Source organism: Homo sapiens, chromosome 16, assembly GCF_000001405.40.
Source record: "Homo sapiens chromosome 16, GRCh38.p14 Primary Assembly".
Lineage (NCBI taxonomy): Eukaryota > Metazoa > Chordata > Mammalia > Primates > Hominidae > Homo > Homo sapiens.
Genome location: NC_000016.10, coordinates 46,850,498 through 46,870,909, shown reverse-complemented (window position 1 = coordinate 46,870,909; position 20,412 = coordinate 46,850,498). Strand labels below are relative to the sequence as shown.

At 45.6% G+C, this 20,412-nt stretch overlaps 5 annotated features.

Annotated features, from left to right (window-relative positions):
- Nucleotides 372-977: an enhancer, noted in NCBI's record as "H3K27ac hESC enhancer chr16:46903845-46904450 (GRCh37/hg19 assembly coordinates)". NCBI's record gives its function as "activates a minimal SCP1, AML or CMV promoter by ChIP-STARR-seq in naive H9 embryonic stem cells {active_cell/tissue: H9 hESC(naive)}" and the evidence as "EXISTENCE:reporter gene assay evidence [ECO:0000049][PMID:30033119]".
- Nucleotides 978-1,584: an enhancer, noted in NCBI's record as "H3K27ac hESC enhancer chr16:46903238-46903844 (GRCh37/hg19 assembly coordinates)". NCBI's record gives its function as "activates a minimal SCP1, AML or CMV promoter by ChIP-STARR-seq in naive H9 embryonic stem cells {active_cell/tissue: H9 hESC(naive)}" and the evidence as "EXISTENCE:reporter gene assay evidence [ECO:0000049][PMID:30033119]".
- Nucleotides 6,214-6,343: an enhancer, noted in NCBI's record as "active region_10779". NCBI's record gives its function as "activates an Ori minimal core promoter by ATAC-STARR-seq in GM12878 lymphoblastoid cells {active_cell/tissue: GM12878}" and the evidence as "EXISTENCE:reporter gene assay evidence [ECO:0000049][PMID:35858748]".
- Nucleotides 10,699-10,993: an enhancer, noted in NCBI's record as "tiled region #14543; K562 Activating DNase unmatched - State 9:DNaseU". NCBI's record gives its function as "activates a minimal TATA promoter and a strong SV40 promoter by Sharpr-MPRA in K562 cells {active_cell/tissue: K562}" and the evidence as "EXISTENCE:reporter gene assay evidence [ECO:0000049][PMID:27701403]".
- Nucleotides 19,789-19,858: an enhancer, noted in NCBI's record as "active region_10778". NCBI's record gives its function as "activates an Ori minimal core promoter by ATAC-STARR-seq in GM12878 lymphoblastoid cells {active_cell/tissue: GM12878}" and the evidence as "EXISTENCE:reporter gene assay evidence [ECO:0000049][PMID:35858748]".

Sequence of the window (20,412 nt, the reverse complement as noted above, 5' to 3'; positions counted from 1 at the left end):
TACAGGTACGTGCCACCATGCCCAGCTAATTTTTTGTAGTTTTAGTAGAGATGAGGCTTCATCATGTTGACTAGGCTGGTTGCAAACTCCTGACCTCACGTGATCTGTCTGCCTCACCCTCCCAAAGTGTTGGGATTACAGGTGTGAGCCACCACACCCAGCCTTAGCTTTTCTTTTTTGCCTTAGACTCAGGTACTCAGCTTGCTGGATTAGATACTTGGTTAGACAGTTTGGCCACCAATGCAGAGCTCTCCTTTCTTGTTGCCTCGGGACACAGAGAGCAGAGGATCTCAGCTTTTGAACAGTTTGGGGAAACAGAGTATACCAAAAAATATGAGAAAAATACAAATTTTACAAAGACCTGACAATCTTGTACTAGTCTAGAGTATCCAGAACCCTATTATGGTCAGAGCCTCTCAGAGATGAAGAAATGCTCCAGCCAATTCCATTGTTTGAGGGTTTGTTGTTGTTGCTCTTGGTTTTTTTTTTTTTTTTTTTTGAGACAGGGTCTCACTCTGTCACCCAAGCTGGAGTTCGGTGGCATAAACACAGGTAGGGCAAGTGATATGGTTTGGCTGTGTCCCCACCCAAATCTTATCTTGAACTGTAGCTCCCATAATCCCCACATGTTATGGGAGGGACCCAGTGGGAGGTAATTGAATCATGGGGGTGGTTATCTCCATGCCGTTCTAATGATAGTAAGTGAGTTCTCACGAGATTTGATGGTTTTATAAGGGGCTTTTCCCCTGCTCTGCTCTGTAGTTCTCCTTGCTGCCACCATGTGAAGAAGGACGTGTTTGCTTCCCCTTCCACCATGCTTGTATGTTTCCTGAGGGGCTTCTCCAGACATGCTGAACAGTGAGTCAATTAAACCTCTTTTTTTTTTTTTTTTTTTTTGAGATGGAGTCTTGCTCCATCGCCATGCTGGAGTGCAATGGCACGATCTAGGCTCACTGCAACTTCTGCCTCCCGGGTTCAAGCAATTCTCCTGCCTCCCGGGTTCAAGCAATTCTCCTGCCTCAGCCTCCTGAGTAGCTGGGACTACAGCCATGTACCACCACACCCAGCTAATTTTTTTTGTATTTTTAGTAGAGACGGGGGTTTCACCATGTTGGCCAGTGTGATCTCGATCTCCTGACCTTGTGATCTGCCTGCCTCAGCCTCCCAAAGTGCTAAGATTACAGTCGTGAGCCACCGTGCCTGACCTAAACGCTTTGCCTTGCCGATGGAGTCTTGCTCTTGTTGCCCAGGGTGGAGTGCAATGGCATGATCTCCGCTCACTGCAACCTCCACCTCCTGGGTTCAAGCGATTGTCCTGCCTCAGTCTCCTGAGTAGCTGGGATTACAGGTGTCCACCACTAAGCCTGGCTAATTTTGTATTTTTAGTAGAGACAAGGTTTTGCCATGTTGGTCAGGTTGGTCTTGAACTCCTGACCTCATGATACACCCGCCTCAGCCTCCCAAAGTGTTGGGATTACAGGCATGAAGCCACTGCACCTAGCCTCTAAACCTCTTTTCTTTATAAATTACTCAGTCTTAGGTATGTCTTTATTAGCAGCATGAGAGCAGACTAATACAATAAATTGGTACCACAGAGAGTGGGGCGCTGCTGTAAAGATACCCAAAAATGTGGAAGCGACTTTGGAACTGGGTAACAGGCAGAAGTTGGAACAGTTTGGAGGGCTCAGAAGAAGACAGAAAAATGTGGGAAAGTTTGGAACTTCATAGAGACTTGGAAGGCTCAGAAGACAGGAAGATGTAGGAAAGTTTGGAACTTCCTAGAGACTTGTTGAGTGGCTTTGATCAACATGCTGATAGTGATATGGACCATGAAGTCCAGGCTGAGGTGTGATCAGATGGAGATGAGGAACTTGTTGGGAACTGGAGCAAAGGTCACTGTTACTATGCAAAGAGACCGGCAGCATTTTGCCTCTGCCCTAGAGATCTGTGGAACTTTGAACTTGAGAGATGATTTAGTGTATCTGGTGGAAGAAATTTCTAAGCAGCAAAGTGTTCAAGAGGAAGCAGAGCATAAAAGTTTGAAAATTTTCCAGCCTGAGGATGCAGTAGAAAAGAAAAACCCATTTTCTGAGGAGAAATTCAAGCCTGCTGCAGAAATTTGCATAAGTAACAAGGAGCCAAATGTTAATGACCAAGACAATGGGGAAAATGTCTCCAGGGCATGTCGGAGACCTTCATGGCAGCTCCTTCCATCACAGGCCTGGAAGGAGGCCTAGGAGAAAAAAATGGTTTCCTAGGCTGGGTCCAGAGCCCCCCTACTGCGTGCAGCCTCAAGACTTGGTGCCCAGCATCCCAGTCACTCTAGCTATGGCTAAAAGGGGTTAAGGTACAGCTTGGGCCATGGCTTCAGAGGGTGCAAGCCAAAGCCTTGGCAGCTTCTGCATGGTGTTGAGTCTGTGGGTGCACAGAAGTCAAGAATTGAGGTTTGGGAACCTCTGCCTAGATTTCAGAGAATGTATGGAAACACCTGAATGTCCAGGCAGAATTTTGCTGCAGGGGTAGAGCCCTCATGGAGACCCTCGGCTAGGGCAGTGTGGAAGGGAAATGTGGGGTTGGAGCCCCCACACAGAGTCTCCACTGGGGCACTGCCTAATGGAGCTGTGAGAATAGGGCCACCATCCTCCAGACCCCAGAATGGTAGATCCACCGACAGCTTACACCATGCACCTGGAAAAGCTGCAGACACTCAACACCAGCCCATGAAAGTAGCCGGGAGGGGGCTGTGCCCTGCAAAGCCAAAAAAGTGGAGCTGCCCAAGGTGGTAGGAACTCACCCCTTGCATCAGCATAACCTGGATGTGAGACATGGAGCTAAAGGAGATCTTTTGGAACTTTAAGGTTTAGTGACTGCCCTGTTGGATTTTGGACTTGCATGGGGCCTGTAGTCCCTTTGTTTTGGCTAATTTCTCCCATTTGGAATGGGTGTATTTACCCAATGCCTCTACCTCCATTGTATCTAGGAAGTAACTAACTTGCTTTTGGTTTTACAGGCTCATAGGCAGAAAGGACTTGCCTTGTCTCAGATGAGGCTTTGGACTTGGACTTTTGAGTTAATGCTGGAATGGGTCAAGACTTTGAGGGACTGTTGGGAAGGCATGATTGCATTTTGAAAGTGAGGACATGAAATTTGGGAGGGGCCAGGGGCAGAATGATATGGTTTGACTTTGTCCCCACCCACATCTCATCTTGAACTGTAGTTCCCATAATCCCCATGTGTCGTAGGAGGAACTCAGTGGGAGGTAATTAAATCATGGGGGTGGTTACCTCCATGCTGTTCTCATGATAGTGAGTGAGTTATCACAAGATCTAATGGATTTATTTATTTATTTATTTACTTGTCTATTTATTTTGAGATGGAGTCTCACCCTGTTGCCTGGACTGGAGTGCAGTGGCGCAATCTTGGCTCACTGCAACCTCCACCTCCCAGGTTCAAGTGATTCTCCTGCCTCAGCCTCCTGAGTAGCTGGGATTACAGGCGCCCGCCACTACGCCCAGCTAATTTTTTGTATTTTTAGGAGAGATGGGGTTTCACCATGTTGGCCAGGCTGGTCTTGAGCTCCTGACCTCATGATTCACCCACCTTGGCCTCCCAAAGTGCTGGGATTACAGGTGTGAGCCACTGTGCCCGGCCGAGATCTGATGGTGTTACAGGGGGCTTTCCGCCCCCTTTGCTCTACACTTCTCCTTGCTGCTGCTATGTGAAGAAGGATGTGTTTGTTTCCCCTTCTGCCATGATTGTAAATTTCCTGAGGCTTCCCCAGCCATGCTGAACTATGAGTCTATTAAACCTCCTTTCTTTATAAATTACCTAGTCTTGGGTATGTCTCTATTAGCAATGTGTAAACAAACTAATACAGTAAACAAAACATGAAACTTCCTTCCTTTTTTTTTTTTTTTTTTTTTGAGACAGAGTCTAGCTGTGTTGCCCAGGCTGGAGCACAGTGGTGTGATCTCAGCTCACTGCAACCTCTTACCTCCCAGGCTTGAGCATTCTCCTGCCTCAGCCTCCTGAGTAACTGGGACTACAGGCATGTGCCACCATGCCTGGCTAGTTTTTGTATTTTTAGTAGAGATGGAGTTTCACTATATTGGCCAGGCTGGTCTCAAACTCATAGGCTCAAGTCAGCCGCCCACCTCGGCTTCCCAAAGTGCTGGGATTACAGACCTGAGCCATCATGCCAGGCTCCTTCCATTTTTAATGTGGCTTTTTCTTAGATGTGCATTCACTCAGTTGCTGGTCTTTTTATTGATTTCCACAGTCCCTATTAAGTTATTTTAGCCAGTTTCTAGTTGTTCATTTAATGTTTCCATAGTGGAAACAAGGACCTGAAGCTTTCTAGTCCACCATCTTGCTGGTGACACTCCAAGCTTGTTTCTTTGTTTGTTTGTTTGAGGCAGAGTCTCGCTCTGTTGCCCAGACTGGAGTGCAGTGATGCAATCAGGGGTCACTGCAGCCTCAACCTTCTGAGCTCCAGCCATCCTCTAGCCTCAGCATCCTGAGTAGTTGGGATTATAGGCATGTGTCACCATGCCCAGCCTTTAAAATAAATTATAGTAAATTCTTCAATATGTATCTCCAAAAATAAGAACATTCTACTCCATAACTACAATACCATTATATTATATGTACACATTTAACAATAGTTTCATAATACTACCCCAGTCCATATTCAAGTTTCCCTAATGTAATTATTATATATTTTATTTCATCATTATTTTTTAAACTTTTTATTATATAACATAACACAGATATTTAAAAAACACCAAACATACATATGGTAAATTATTAAAAATGAACACCCTTACAGCTACAACTCAGGACTAGAGATAGAACTTCCAGCTACCTCTGAAACTATCCACATACCACATCCCAATCATAACCATCCCTCCCTCAAAGTGACCATGATTATAAGCAAGATGCCTGAGTTTTTGCACGTTGAGAGGTTGTTAGTGTTTGTGTCCCTTATACTCAGATACAAAATCTTGGCTCACACTTTCCTTTCTTTGGAGACAGGGTCTTACTCTGTCACCTAGGCTGGAGGGAATGGTGCAATAAGCTCACTGCAGCCTCAACCTCCCAGGATCAAGCAATCCTCCTGCCTCAGCCTCCTGAGTAGCTGGGACTACAGGTGTGTGCCCCAACACCCACCTACTTTTTGTATTTTTTGTAGAGATGGGTTTTCACCATGTTGCCCAGGCTGGTCTCCAACTCCTGAGCTCAAGTGATCCACCTGCCTTGGCTTCCCAAAGTGCTGGGATTACAGGCATGAGCCACCATGCCCAGCCAATATGTAATCTTTAAGAAAGTTGTCTTGAATTATAGGTTTTGAGCTGGGTATGGTGGCTCATGCCTGTAATCTTGGCACTTTGGGAGGCTGAGGCTGGGGCATCACTTAAATCAGGAGTTCAAGACCAGCCTGGCCAACATAGTGAAACCCTGTCTCTACTAAAAATATAAAAATTAGCTGGGTGTGGTGGGACACACCTGTAATCTCAGCTACTTGGGAGGCTGAGGCAGGAAAATCGCTTGAACCTGGGAGGTGGAGGTTGCAGTGAGCCAAGATCACACCACTGCACTCCAGCCTGGGCAATACAGTGAGACTGTGTCTCAAAAAACAAACAAACAAACAAAACCAATTATAGTTTTTGGTATTTGCCACATTGTTCCTTTAATCTGGTTTTCTTTTGCAGTTACTTCTATTTATAATATGTTGGAACTGCCAATCTGAAATAATCAAAAGGATCAGAATCCAGTTTTTTTTTTTTTTTTTTTTTGAGACGGGTCTCACTCTATCACCCAGGCTGGAGTGCAGTGGCACTATCTCAGCTCACTGCAAACTCCGCCTCCCAGGATCACGCCATTCTCCTGCCTTAGCCTCCCGAGTAGCAGGAACTACAGGCGCCCACCACCACGCCCAGCTAATTTTTTTGTATTTTTAGTAGAGATGGGGTTTCACCATGTTAGCCAGGATGGTCTCAATCTCCTGACCTCGTGATCCGCCTGCCTCGGCCTCCCAAAGTGCTGGGATTACAGGCGTGAGCCACCGTGCCCCGCCCAGAATCCAGTTTTAAAGAGTTTATTAAAGCAAAATGTTGGGAATGACTATCTGGGAGACACAGCGTGTAGGGAAATGGGGTCAGTGTTCTGAAGTTGAGAGTTAAGTTCTTGCTTAAGTAGGCAGAAAACAAAGAAGTAGGATCATTTTCTATATGAGGCTGGTTCATGAGTTAACAACCATTTAGTTACAGCTTCTTTCCTTTTCTATATGGCTTGGTTTCTTTTCTTTACAACTGGTTTTCATTTCCTTTCCTACATAGTTATTTATTTTTGAGACAGGATGTTCCTCTTTCGTCCAGGGTGGAGTACAATGGTGCAAACATGACTCATTGCAGCCTTGACCTCCCAGGTTCAAGGGATCCTCCCACCTGAGCTTCCTGAGTAGCTGGGACTACAGGTGCTTGCCGCCATGTCTGGTTAATTTTTAAAAAAATAATAAGAAGAAATAGGATCTCACTGTTGAGCAGGCTGGTCTCAAACTCCTGGCCTCAAAAAATCCTCTCACCTAGGCTTCCCAAGGTGCTGAAATTACAGGTGTGAGCCACCTCCTGGCCCTCCTTTCCAATTTAAGGTATTTAGCATTCCATTTTATGACAATGTGATGGCCAAAAAGTCTATGTGAGAAAGGTAAGAGGGAAGTCAATCTATAATGAAGATCAACAGTGAAGAGTCTTTCCTGATGCCCTTTAGTCATTTGAAACATTTTACAAAACAATGTAGGTAAGTAATAAGACTAATCTATAATCAGAAGCAAAGGGTTACAGCTGCCTAAGTTACAGTTGCCTGTCAGGTAACATTCCTCTAAGGCTCAAAATAATTTAGAGTTCCAATAGCTTAGATTTTTAATTATTTTCAGAGATCTTATTTGCATGGCTTCAATATTTGTCACTTTTTTGCACATACTTTTTGTTTTCTTTTTTCCTTATTTTCAATTTTAATTTTTTTCACCTTCTATTTCTTATCAGGCAATACTTGTAGCATTTATCTACTTTTTTGTTGTTGTTGTTGAGACAGGGCCTCACTATGTCTGTAGTACAGTGGCACAATCACAGCTCACTGAAGTCTGTGCTTAAGTGATCCTCCCACCTAAGCCACCGGAATAGCTGGGATTATTGGCACACACCATCATGCCGGGCTAATTTTTTTTAATGTTTGGTAGAGATGGGGTTTCACTATGTTGCTCAAACTCCTGAGCTCAAGCAATCTTCCTGCCTCAGCCTCCCAAAGTGCTGGGATTACAGGTGTGAGCCACTGTGCCCAGCTTATTTATTTACTTTTGTTTTCCTTCTGGTTTAGTTTCATTTCTGAAATAAATTTTTTATTTATTACTATTTTTTCCTTGAGTTTTATCACCTAATTGCTATATTTTTCTAGTTCTGATTTACGTATGTATGTTGTTCTTTGTATCTTTCAAAATGTCTTTTAGCTAGTTTCAAAATACTAGTTTATACTGTTTATCTGTTTTGTGGAAGGGAGCTTGGTTGATTAGTGCTGTAGCTTGAATATTTAAACCTCCAAACTTCATGTTGAAATTTGATCCCCAGCCGGGCAGTGGCTCACGCCTGTAATCTTAACACTTTAGGAGGCCACTTGAGGCCAGGAGTTTGAGACCAGCCTGGCCAACATGGTGAAACCCTGTCTCTACTAAAAATACAAAAGTTAGCTGGGCGTGGTGGCTCACACTTGTAATCCCACCTACTCAGTAAGCCGAGGGAGGAGAATCACTTGAGCCGAGATTGTGCCGTGTACTCCTGCCTGGGCAAAAGAGCGAGACTCCGTCTCAAAAAAAAAAAAAAGATATCTGATCCCCAGCGTTGGCAGCAAGGCCTAACAGGAGGTGTTTGGGTTATGGGGGTGGATCCCTCATGAATGTCTTGGTGACCTCTTTGTGGTAATGAGTAAGTTCTTACTCTACTAGTTCCCAAGAAAGTAGGTTGTTATAAAGAGCCTGGTGCCTCCTCCTCTCTCTTCTTGCTGCTCTCTCTCATCATGTGATCTCTGCCCATGCTGGCTGCCCTTCCCCTTCAGCCATGAGTGGAAGCTTCCTAAGGCCTCACCAGAAGCAGATGCTGGCGTCATGCTTCTTATACAGTCTGCAGAGCTGTGAGCCAAATAAACCTCTTTTCTTAATAAATTACTCAGCCTCAGGTCTTTCTTCATAGCAACACAAAAGGACTAAGACAATTGCTTTAAAAGTTGATGTTGCGGCCGGGCGCGGTGGCTCATGCCTGTAATCCCAGTACTTTGGGAGGCTGAGGCGGGTGGATCACAAGGTCAGGAGATTGAGACCATCCTGGCTAACACGGTGAAACCCCATCTCTACTAAAAATAATAATAATTAAAAAAATTAGCCGGGCATGTTGGCGGGCACCTGTAGTCCCAGCTACTCGGGAGGCTGAGGCAGGAGAATGGTGAACCAGGGAGGCGGAGCTTGCAGTGAGCCGAGACTGCGCCACTGCACTCCAGCCTGGGTGACAGAGTAATACTCCGTCTCAAAAAAAAAAAAAAAAAAAAAGTTGATGTTGCCTCAATTGCTCCAACCCCTCCAGTCTTATCAGAGACTCCTTGTACTCACCCATATTGAAGCATGCAGAACACCTCCCACTTTAGCTGCTTTTCTCAGTTTGGCTCACTCTGCCCTCCTGCGAAGACCTGTTTGCTGGCCCCTGAGGTGCCCTATCTCTTCCCTCTGCATTATTCTATATAAATGCGAATATCATATAGATCTTATAGTGGTGGGAATTGTTGTCGTCATGCTCTTACCTTTTACAGTTCATGGGGATACCTTATAATCTGGCTTTGTTGAAAATGCTCTTCATAGGTTTTTGGTTTTACCATCTAGTTGCTCTGCCTTTTTTTTTTTTTTTTTTTTTCCTGCAAGGTGGATTCTAGGAGATCAAAAAACTATACCACTGCTGTGTCTTTCCAGAATTATGAAGGGAAAAAGAACCATGAGAGCTCAGGAAGCAAATTATTATATTTGCCCCCATGGCCAGGCCAGGACCATGTGCTGGAACCACACTCAGATGTGAATAGGATGTGGTTCCCAGGAAGCAAGCTACCTTATATTAGATTCTACACCCAAAGAAGGCAAAACATAACACATGTTTATTACAGTGTTTCATATCAGGTTTTATTTGAGGGTTCCACTACTTTAAAAAAAAGTATAAAAACATTCATCTAAGATAGTGTAATTATATGACTTGTTCTTTAACTCAAACTTTTTATTTTTATTTTTATTATTTATTTATTTATTTATTTTTGAGATGGAGTTTAGCTCTTGTTGCCCAGGCTGGAGCGCAATGGTGTGATCTTGGCTCACCGCAACCTCTGCCTCCTGGGTTCAAGTGATTCCCCTACCTCAGCCTCTTGAGTAGCTGGGATTATAGGCATATGTCATCATGCCTGGCTAATTTTTTTTGTTTTTAGTAGAGACGGGGTTTCTCTGTGTTGGTCAGGCTGGTCTTGAACTGCTGACCTCGGATGATCCGCCTGTCTCGGCCTCCCAAAGTGCTGGGATTACAGGTGTGAGCCAGCATGCTTGGCCTATTTTTATTTTTAATTTTGAGACAGGGTCTCATTGTGTTGTCCAGGCTAGAGTGCAGTGGTGTGATCACAACTCACTGCAGCCTTGACCTCTGGGTTCAAGTGATCCTCCTGCCTCAGCCTCCTGAGTAGCTGGGATTACAGGCACACGCCACCACACCTGGATAATTTTTTTATTTTTCATGTTTGTAGAGATGTGGTCTCATTATTTTGCCAAGCCTCTGGTCTTGAACTCCGGAGCTCAAGTGATCTTCCCATCTCGGTCTCCCAAAAGTGCTGGGATTTACAAGCGTGAGCCACCATGCCCAGCCCCTGACTTCAACTTTTTAAAGATAACTTTCAATTATATGACCTTCCTTCATAAGAGATGAACACATAGATGAGGCTAAAGTCCCCTTGTCTCTGGGTTCCCTTTGGATGCCTGGCTGACTTAAATGCCATCTCAGCAGGGCTGAGGACCATGCACCGGAGTCTGCTGAGGATGGGACATAGTCATTTTAACATTAACCAGAGTGAAATGCAATCATGAAAGTGAATCCTTTAATGCAGTTGTGAGGGATTATCTGTGCTGTTGCCATTCTCCATTTGTACAAAAATGTAAAGCTTGAGAATGGTTGAGGATTTTAGAAACATGTTCCTGGCTCTTTCTCTGTTGTTTAGCATGGTGAGGACCTTGATTCACAGTTTCATTTTTGACTGACAGACTTACTGTTCCATCCCAGCATTGGTAACTAATGGGCTTTCTGGCTCGGTTTTTGCTAGGCTCATTGAGATTGTTTTGATTAGGATGCATTATTATTCAAGTGGCAGAAAACCCCACTCATATTGCCTTTTAAAAACATATACATTGGCTCATGGAGTGTGGAGGTATTTGACACTTCAGGAGTGGCTGGATTCAGGATTCAAATGAGGTGATGGCAATATTGCCCTTCCCAGTCTCAGGGCCCATTTATATTATGTGACATGAGTCCAACACTATGTGCTCTTGGTGATGCCCCAGTCACTGCTGTGGGTCCTGGTCTGCAGCCCAGGTCCCCTTTTTGCTATTTTCTCTGTTTTTGTCGACTTCCCTTCAGGCAGCTTCCCCTCATGTAGTGAAAGGGCTCCAGTAGATCCTTGCTGAACTCCCTGCCATCCAAAATCAGCAGAGAACAGAGAACTTCAGAGGCCTCAGGAAAAGTCTCATCGTGACTCACTGGTTCTCACTGCATCACAGCCCCAGCCTGGGTCCCGCCCACATCACTGAGGTCAGGGCAAGGCTGATGTCCGACTGGCTCATACCTAGTCAAAGTCTCCACTGCTGGTTACCAATGAAGATGGCAGCCTCATCAGAATTCCTTGAATGAAGAGGAAGGGAGGGGGGATGTGACAAGGGATAGCTCAGCATAGCTCAGATGGCACCCCCTCTGAAAGGCAGCAGCCTCAATTTGAAAAAAAAAAAAAAGGGCAGGGCACAGTGACTCACACCTATAATCCCAGCACTTTGGGAGGCCAAGGCTTGCGGATCATCTGAGGTCAGGAGTTCAAGACCAGCCTGGCCAACAAGGTGAAACCCCGTCTGTACTAAAAATACAAAAATCAGCTGGGCGTGGTGGCAGGAACCTGTAATCCCAGCTACTCGGGAGGCTGAGGCACAAGAATTACTTGAACCCAGGAGGGAGAGGTTTCAGTGAGCCGAGATTGCACCACTGTACTCCAGCCTGGGCGACAGTGAGACCCTGTCTCACACACACACACAGGGCCAGGCATGGTGGTTCACACCTGTAATCCCAGCACTTTGGAAGGTAGAAGTGGGAGGATTTCTTGAGCCCAGGAGTTGAGACCAGCCTAGGCAATGTAGCAAGACCCCATCTCATTTTTTTTTTTTTTAAGGGAGAGTGTCGTTCTTTCGCCCAGGCTGGAGTGCAGTGGCGCGATCTCAGCTCACTGCAACCTCCATCTCCCAGTTCAAGCGATTCTCCTGCCTCAGCCTCCTGAGTAGCTGGGATTACAGGCACCCACCACCGCACCCAGCTAATTTTTGTATTTTTTAGTAGAGATGGGGTTTTGCCATGTTGGCCAGGCTGGTCTTGAACTCCTGACCTCAAGTGATATGCCCACCTTGGCCTCCCGAAGTGCTGGGATTACAGGCATAAGCCACCGCTTCTAGCCCCCGCCTCAATTTTTTAAAAAATTGAATTAACGACAATAACAAAAAGAGGCAGCATGTCACAGTGGTTGAAAGTGTGTACTGCGGTGCCAAGAGGCAGCATGTCACAGTGGTTGAGGGTGTGTACTGTGGTGCCAAACCACCTTGGTTCTAACAATGGCTTTACCATTTAGGGTATGTGACCTTGGGTAAGTTACCAATCTCTGTGCCTCAGTTTCCTCACCTGTACAATGGGAGATAATGGCCTCACCTTCATAAAATTATTGACATAAAATTGATTTAATATATATAAAATACTTAGAACTCTGACTGGCATGCAACAAGATCTAGATATCTTTGCCATTATTGAGATTTCATGATCCTTAGGAGAGAATAGGGGAAATTCCTAATGCAGCAAGTTTTCAACAAAGGGCAGTGTTCCTTTGGCCTAGGACAGTGATGCTGTGGCTTGAAGTGACTCCTTTCATCAGTTTACCCATCTTAGTCTGCAATGAGCAACTTCCAGATATCACCCCTTTGCATGTGTTGGAGCTCAGAAAATGATACCCCAAGACGAAGGCTGCAGAAGCAGCCTCAGAGGCTAAAGGTTTTCACTGACCTTCTGCCCTCCTGTCTTTTAGGCCCATTCTCCCCAGGAACTAGTTATAGAAACTAGAATCCCTCTTCCTCAAGGCAGATCATAGACACCAAAACCCTTTTTCCCCCAAGCCAGCCATAAAACCTAAAAATATTCTGTGAAAAAACTGGCCTACCCTGTTTGACTGTAGGTCATAAGATCCCTATTGGAAAGAGGATCCTGCCCCATACCTAGAGGGAAGGAATGCTGCTTGGAGAGGCCAAGAAGAATCCAGACCGACAGATCTTGCTGGGTTTCCCCACTCTGTCTATTAGCGAGCGTTAGCGCAGACCCTTTTTGCCCAATCCTATTTCTACATGGCTGTCCAGACTTTGTCGAATCTAAGCGCAAAAATGGACAACTTCCCCTGCATCTTTGGGTCTTCATTTGGAAGTCTCCTGTGTATACATGTCATGCTTCTTCTCCAATTAACCTACCTTTTGTGAGCTGATTTTTCAGTGAACCTTCCAAGGGTGAAGTAAAAGTCTCCTTGGCCCCCACACACACTGGGGTGTAGTTTGCTTTGAGGCTGGTCTGGGGGTGAGGGCATGGCTGTTGTGGTTTGCCTTGAGGCTGGTCTGGGGGTGAGGGCATAGCTGTTGAATACCATTAAGGGCATTTCACTGTGAGGTTTGATTCACATTGTTCTAGAACTTTAGACTGATTCACAATTTCGCTGCCAGCCGGTGCAGCAGCAACTGCTTCCATCTGTGACGTCGTGCACTGATTTATAAACCATTTATAGCTCTCCTCCCCACTTGACACAGCTGCTCCACAAATGGCTCAGGATTGCAACTAGAGGGGAAATTGGGGACTGCACTTGAACTTTCTCTATAATGAAGTGTAAATTGTCCTTTTGAAAAGTGCTTTCTTCATAAATCCCAGGCCTCAAATGTGGCAATTAAGAGAAGCCTTAAAAGCAAAAGAGGCTTCTGTTCCAGGTCTTTTCAAACCCTAAATGTCAAATTCTCTGTGCCTGTGTCCTGGCCTGGCATCTTATTTCCCTCAACACCCTCCTCCCATCTCTTTCTTAGTAACAATCTCAGATCCTGGCAGCGAATGGCATGCGAAACTGGGAACATTTTTCTTCTACACAGACAGGGTTATATAAATCTTCCTGTTTTAAAGTGATTTCTTTTACCCTTTATTTCTTTTGTGTGCCTTTAGGAGTCTGCTTGAATTCTTAATGGGCTAGATCCCTGGCTGGCTTGTTCTCTGCTTAAAGCAAACCATATCGATGCCAATTACTTTTATCCAGGCATTTGCATGTTTACTAAGGTCCTACTACCAGGCACTGATATCATCAGAGACTGTCTCCATATTCTTTGTATCCAGTCTTTTTTTTTTTTTTTGAGACGGAGTCTCGCTCTGTCTCCCAGGCTGGAGCGCAGTGGCACGATCTCGGCTCACTGCAACCTCCGCCTCCCAGGTTCAAGCAATTCTCCTGCCTCAGCCTCCTGAGAGTAGCTGGGACTACAGGCGCCGGCCACCATGCACGGCTAATTTTTGTATTTTTAATAGAGACGGGGTTTCACCATATTGGTCAGGCTGGTCTCGAACTCCCGACTTCAGGTTATCCACCCGCTTCAGCCTCCCAAAGTGCTGGGATTACAGGCGTGAGCCACCGCGCCCAGCTATGTATCCAGTCTTTTTCCACAAACATTCTACTTTTGGCCGGGCGCAGTGGCTCACGTCTGTAATCCCAGCACTTTGGGAGGCCGAGGTGGGCGGATCACAAGGTCAGGAGTTCGAGACCAGCCTGGCCAACATAGTGAAACCCTGTCTCTACTAAAAATACAAAAATTAGCCAGGTGTGGTGTCGTGCGCCTGTAGTCCCAGCTACTCAGGAGGCTGAGGCAGGAGAATCACTTGAACCTGGGAGGTGGAGGTTGCAGTGAGCCGAGATCGTGCCATTGTGCTCCAGCCTGGGTGACAGAGTGAGACTCTATCTTAAAAAAAAAAAAAAAAGAAAAGAAAAGAAGAAAAAAAAAACTACTTTTGATAAATCTCCTTTCTGTTGTTGTTACTGTTGTTTTTTTAGGCAGGGCCTCACTCTGTCACCAGGCTGAAGTGCAGCCATGTGATCATAGCTCACTGCAGCCTCAAACTCTTAGGCTCAAGTAGTCCTCCTGCTTCAGCCTTTGAAGTAGCTGGGACTACAGGCACATGCCAACATGTCCAGCTAATTAAAAAAAAAATTTAAAGAGATGGGGTCTTGCTGTGTTGCCCAGGCTGGTCTCAATCTCCTGGCCTCAAGGAATGCTCACACCTCAGCCTCCCAAAGTGCTGGGATTACAGGTGTGAGCCACCAAGCCCAGTCTGCCCCTTTATTTTCTACTGTTTTAAAAAAGGCATTGGCTTATCTAAAGGACCTAGTTCCTAGATAGTTACTTCCTGTTCTAGAGAGTTAATACAATGAGACTAAGGTCATCAAGTCCCACCAGAATACATCAGGCTATGTTACATGTCCATGTTTTCGAATACGCTTCAGAGGGAATCTTCTTCCTCTCCTTCATCTCTCTAATGCCTTCTCATTTTTCTAAAGTTAGGCCAATGTCATGACTCTGCTGGGAAACACTGTTGGAGCCCTCTGATTTTGATATTCCTTCCCCAGGCTCCCTTGAGTTCACCATTCTTGGAGAAAGCATTGCAACTGGACAGTGATCATTGATTTACTAGTCTGCCTCCATCATTAAGGTAGAGGCCAGAAAGGGACTATGTCAGATTGAACTTATTTTCCTCAGTTTCTAATAGACAATTATCAAATGAATGAACAAATGTACATTTCCTGAATACCCTCTATGTGCCAGTTACTGTATGAGGGTCTGGGGACACCAAGACCTTGTCCCTTTGAAGTTTATGGTCTAGTGGAAAGTTACACACTAGGTTAATAATCACACATATCACAATATTATCTTGAACTGATAAAGGGAAAAAACAGAATGCTTTGAAGGAAAAAAACAGAATGTTAGGAGACTGTCTGATAGGAGCGCCCAGAGATTGGATAAGCAGGACTTTTATCTGGGAAGAAGGGAGAGGGAGGGCTGGAAGTGCTTTCAGGACGTCCTGAAGTGTACCGAATGAGTAAACTGATGAAAGTGAGTGGGAGGGGGATGGAAACTCGCTCTCTGGTCATCGTGGGCATCGATGAATTGGTTTGTCTTGTGTCTTCTCCAGGTGGCAGGACCCTGATTTTTGGAGGATCCAAGCCTCCCTCATTCTCATCCTGACCTACCCCTCTTTCTAATAATGGGCACTTGACCTAGCCAAATTGAGTATGTCATCTACCAGGGCTCCTCCCATGTGATTAATTTAGGAATGAGTTTGAATTTAAGTCAAGTCTGGGATTCTTGGCATAACTAGGAAGAAAGACCTGCATTTCTTTCAGCACTTTGGATATTGTGCTTGAAAGAGAAGGGTAGAGATAGATGAAGACAAATTGATTTCTGATTTTTTTTGAGCACCTGGATCCAGCCATACCTGAAACTCGTGTGGCTACAGTTGTGTCTAAATTAACACACCTATGACTTTTAAAGCTATTAACTAGGCTGGGTGAAGTAGCTCATGCCTGTAATCCCAGCACTTTGTGAGGCTGAGGTCAGAGGATTGCTTGAGCCCAGGAGTTTCCAGCCTAGGCAACATAGGAAGACCTCGTCTCTACCAAAAACAAAAAACAAAAAACAAAAACAAAAACAAAACAAAACAAAACAAAACAAAAACATGGTGAGCACCTGTAGTCCCAGCTACTCAGGAGGCTGATGTGGGAGGATTACTTGAGCCTAGGAAGTTGAGGCTGCAGTGAGCCATGATAGTACCACTGCACTCTAGCCTGGATGTCTCAAAAAAAAAAAAAAAGCTATTAACTAAATAACTATCCCATCTTTTTATATGGCTTAGGCTAGTTTGCACAGGGCTTCAGGTACTTGCAAGACCAATGGCACTCATTTGCTAAGTCCAAAGAGGGTAAGGGAGGCCAGCTAAAGCGATTATGGAGGTCATCCAGCCAGGGAGAGCCCAAACACAGCAATCTTTCCTGCACCAGGAGAGTTCCCCCTAAGTGTCTGTATTCTGGTCTTCTCCTCAGAGACCCTGACCCTTGGGTTTCCATTTGTTTGAGTGTCTAGCAACAGGTGCACTGAGGGAGGGTGGTTGGAGAGAGATACCAATAGGAACCTTCCCAGGCCCTGACAGGGCAGGGAGTTCCAGGTACCCAAAGTGCTGGAAAATCACGAACTGCCTCTGCATTGGAGGAATGTGGACTAACCCTGATTTGAGAGTGGAGAGCCAGCAGGAGAGCTGGCTTTTGCTGGACTGCAAATGGTGAACCTGCTGGGCCAGGCAAGCTGGAATTGTTAATGGGCCTCAGTGAGCAACAACACCAGTGGGTCACAGCTGCCATCTAGCGCCGGATGCCGGCTTTTGCAAATTGTTTACTGGCTGTTTCCAGCTGAAAGGCCTTTCTGAGGGCCAATCTGGGGGGAAATGGGTAGGTCAGTACCTCTACCTTCATATTCAGGAAGAACCTTCAAATCAGACTTTCAGTATTATCTCTAAATCAGATTATTATACATATAGTCCCAGAGCCAAATTGACTAGATGACAAAAATGGGCAATCATTGCACAACATTAATTTCTGTTTCATTCCAAATCTCTAGAGTGTTATGATAGATTGATTAGATAGATAGATAGACAGACAGACATTTAAGGGCAGGCATGGTGGCTCATGTCTGTAATCCCAGCACCTTGGGGGCTGAGACCCGGAGATCACTTGAGTCCAGGAGTTTGAGGCCAGCCTGGGCAATATAGCAAGCTCGTCTCTACAAAAGATGGTGGTGCATCCCTGTGGTCCCAGCTACTCGTGAGGCTGAGTTGCTTGAACCCTGGAGTTTGAGGCTGCAGTGAGCTATGATAGCACCACTGCACACTCCAGCCTGGGCCACAGAGTGAGACCTGTCTCTTTAAAAAAAAAAAAAGATGGATTTTTTTAAAAGATGGATAGATGGATATTTTAAAAATAAATCCTGTAATGGTCCTATTTATGATTCAGGTTTCTGGCAGAAAATAGGCAGGTAGTGTAACTGCCCAGTGGGTTCACCTTTCCCACTGCCTAGACCTGCCTAGACAGGGGAATTGCAATGGAGAAAGAGTAATTCATGCAGAACCGGCTGTGCAGGGGACTGAAGTTTTATGATTACTCAAATCAGAGCATTCAGGGATCGAAGTTTTTGAAGATAATTTGGGAGATAGGGGCTTGGGAAGTGGGGAGTGCTGATGGTTGAGGTTGGAGATAGAATCGCAGGGGGTCGAAGTGAGGTTTTCTTTCTGTCTTCTGTTCCTGGGTGGGATGGCAGAACTGGTTGAGCCAGATTACGGGTCTTGGTGGTGTCAGCTGATCCATCAAGTGCAGGGTCTGCAAAATATCTCAAGCACTGATCTTAGGTTTTACATGGTGATGTTATCCCCAGGAGCAATTTGGAGAGGTTCAGACTCTTTGGAGCCAGAGTCTGCATGACCCCTAAACCACAATTTCTAATATTGTAGCTAATTTGTTAGTCTGGCAAAGGCAGACTGGGCCCCAGGCAAAAAGGGGTCTTTTCAGGAAAGGGCTATTATCAATTTTGTTTCAGAGTCAAACCATGAAACTGAATTCCTTCCCAAGGTTAGTTCGGCCTACACCCAGGAATGAGTAAGAACAGCTTAGGCTGGGCGAGGTGGCTCACGCCTGTAATCCTAGCACTTTGGGAGGCCAAGATGGGCAGATCACCTGAGGTCAGGAGTTCGAGACCAGCCTGGGCAACATGGTGAAACCCAGTCTCTACTAAAAATACAAAAATTAACCGGGCATGGTGGTGGGCACCTGTGATCCCAGCTTCTCGGGAGGCTGAGGCAGGAGAATTGCTTGAACCTGGGAGGCAGAGGTTGCAGTGAGCTGAGATTGTGCCACTGCACTCTAGCCTGGGCAACAGAGTGAGACTCCATCTCAAAAAAAAAAAAAAAAAGGAGAGCTTAAAGGTTAGAAGCAAGATAGAGTGGATTAAGTCTGATCTCTTTCACTGTCATAATTTCCTCAGTTATAAATTTTGCAAAGGCGGTTTCAGTAGTACACTACAAAGGGATGCCTGGGGAGAGTTTAATGATAGGCTACTAACAAAGGTGTGAGAAGGGACCAAAGGAAACAATCAAAGTCCAGGGAAGCAGGCCAGGGTCAGTGATTGGAGGAAGCTGCTTCCACCCTCCAGAACTGATGGGACAGGAAGAGGGCAGGAGCTCAGCAGGATGGCTCCGTAGGCCAGAGCTCCTGCACAGGCACCAACCCCAGGGGCTGGTTCTTGGTTGGGTTTGGAGAAGTACTCCCTAAGATGTGGATTCAGGTGAGACTGACTCGTTAAGGAGTGCTCCCAGGGGAGAGGGAAAATGGAGTAGCAGGGAGCAGGGCAGAGGAGAGGAAGCCAGCAGGTGTGACCGCAGGCATACCTGTGGAGGTAGCTCCAGCTTGACCTGCAGGGCAACTCTGAAGGGGAAGTTGTTTCAGGAGGTCTGACTGCAGGCCAAGAGCTTGGCATCGAACTCCTGACCTATCAGTCATTGATCAAATGGGAGGGCAGGAGGAGAAGTGGGGGAGTCATCCCAGGCACTTTGACTTTTTGCATGTTGGGTTGAACCAAGTATCTTCAAGAATGATTTACTTATAGGCTGGGCGTGGTGGCTCATGCCTGTAACCCCAGCACTTTGGGAGGCTGAGATGGGCGGATCAGTTGAGGCTAGGAGTTCGAGACCAGCCTGCCCAACATGGTGAAACCCCAACTCTACTAAAAATACACAAATTAGCAGGGTGTGGTGGTGGGCACCTGTAATCCCAGCTACTGGGGAAGCTGAGGCAGGAGAATCACTTGAACCTGGGAGGCAGAGGTTGCAGTGAGTTGCGATCATGCCACTGCACTCTGGCCTGGATGACAGAGCAAGACTCCATCTCAAAGAAAAAAAAAATTTTTACTCATAATTTAATAATGACTTTGTGAGAAGTACAGCAATAATGTGTGAGAGGTTTTAATTATAATGTATGTTATTTGTTGAATTCTAAAGTACTCCACAGGTGTTTTGATAGACACCTGTTTGGGGTTAGCAACATACTTTCTGGTTAAACATCACAAGGGATTACACATTTCTCTTCTCACCAAAACTGCTCCTGTAAGTGGTATGTAAATATGACGGGCCTCCTTTTTCTCTTAAACTCAACATGATATTCTGGCTTCACTCATTTGCTTTCTAGCAGCCGCCCCATGTTAGCCTTGCCAAATGGTCAGTCTTCTATTTGGTAGGTTTTATAAGTCCTAAAAGTCTTACTTCAGAAATAGCTCTAATAAACCAAGCATGGAAAATTTCACTCATTTCTTCTGAGGCTGTAGAATTTGCATCCATTTTTTTCCGCAGCTGTCACAACTGTTGCAGATGCCTCTGACCAGCCCACAAGGTTGACTAGCCTGCTATACTCTACAGAGCAACTGAAAAGCATACAGAGATCCAAAGGAATATGGGTAAAGCCAGGAAAGCTGCTGTGAGTGGGGATGGGGGACCAGTGAGGTGTAGTGTGTCTGGAAGGAAGATGCAGAGATGGAGTTTGAAGTATCAGAGGTGTGTTTGGGGGAAAGGGCAAGAGCTGTGAAGGATAAAGGAGGAGGAAGTAGGGTTGGGCAGGGAGAGGCTCAGAACACAATCAGATCTTACATTATCTGCCGAGCTCTGGAGCAAAGATTACCTATTACAACAGTCATGCATTAGGCAAAAATGACCAGGCCCTGGTACACTTTGCTATGTCTGGTCATTGGCTGGTGGCTGACTGAGCCAGGCATGAATCCTAAAGGTGGTACAGCTGGAGGCTGGTAACTAACTACGCTCCTTGCAGCTGAATGGCAAGTGTTTGTGTTTTTGGTTTTGTTTTGTTTTTTGAGACAGGGTCTTTCTCTGTTGCATAGGCTCAGGTGCAGTGGCACAAACAGCTCACTGCAGCCTCAAACTCCCAGGC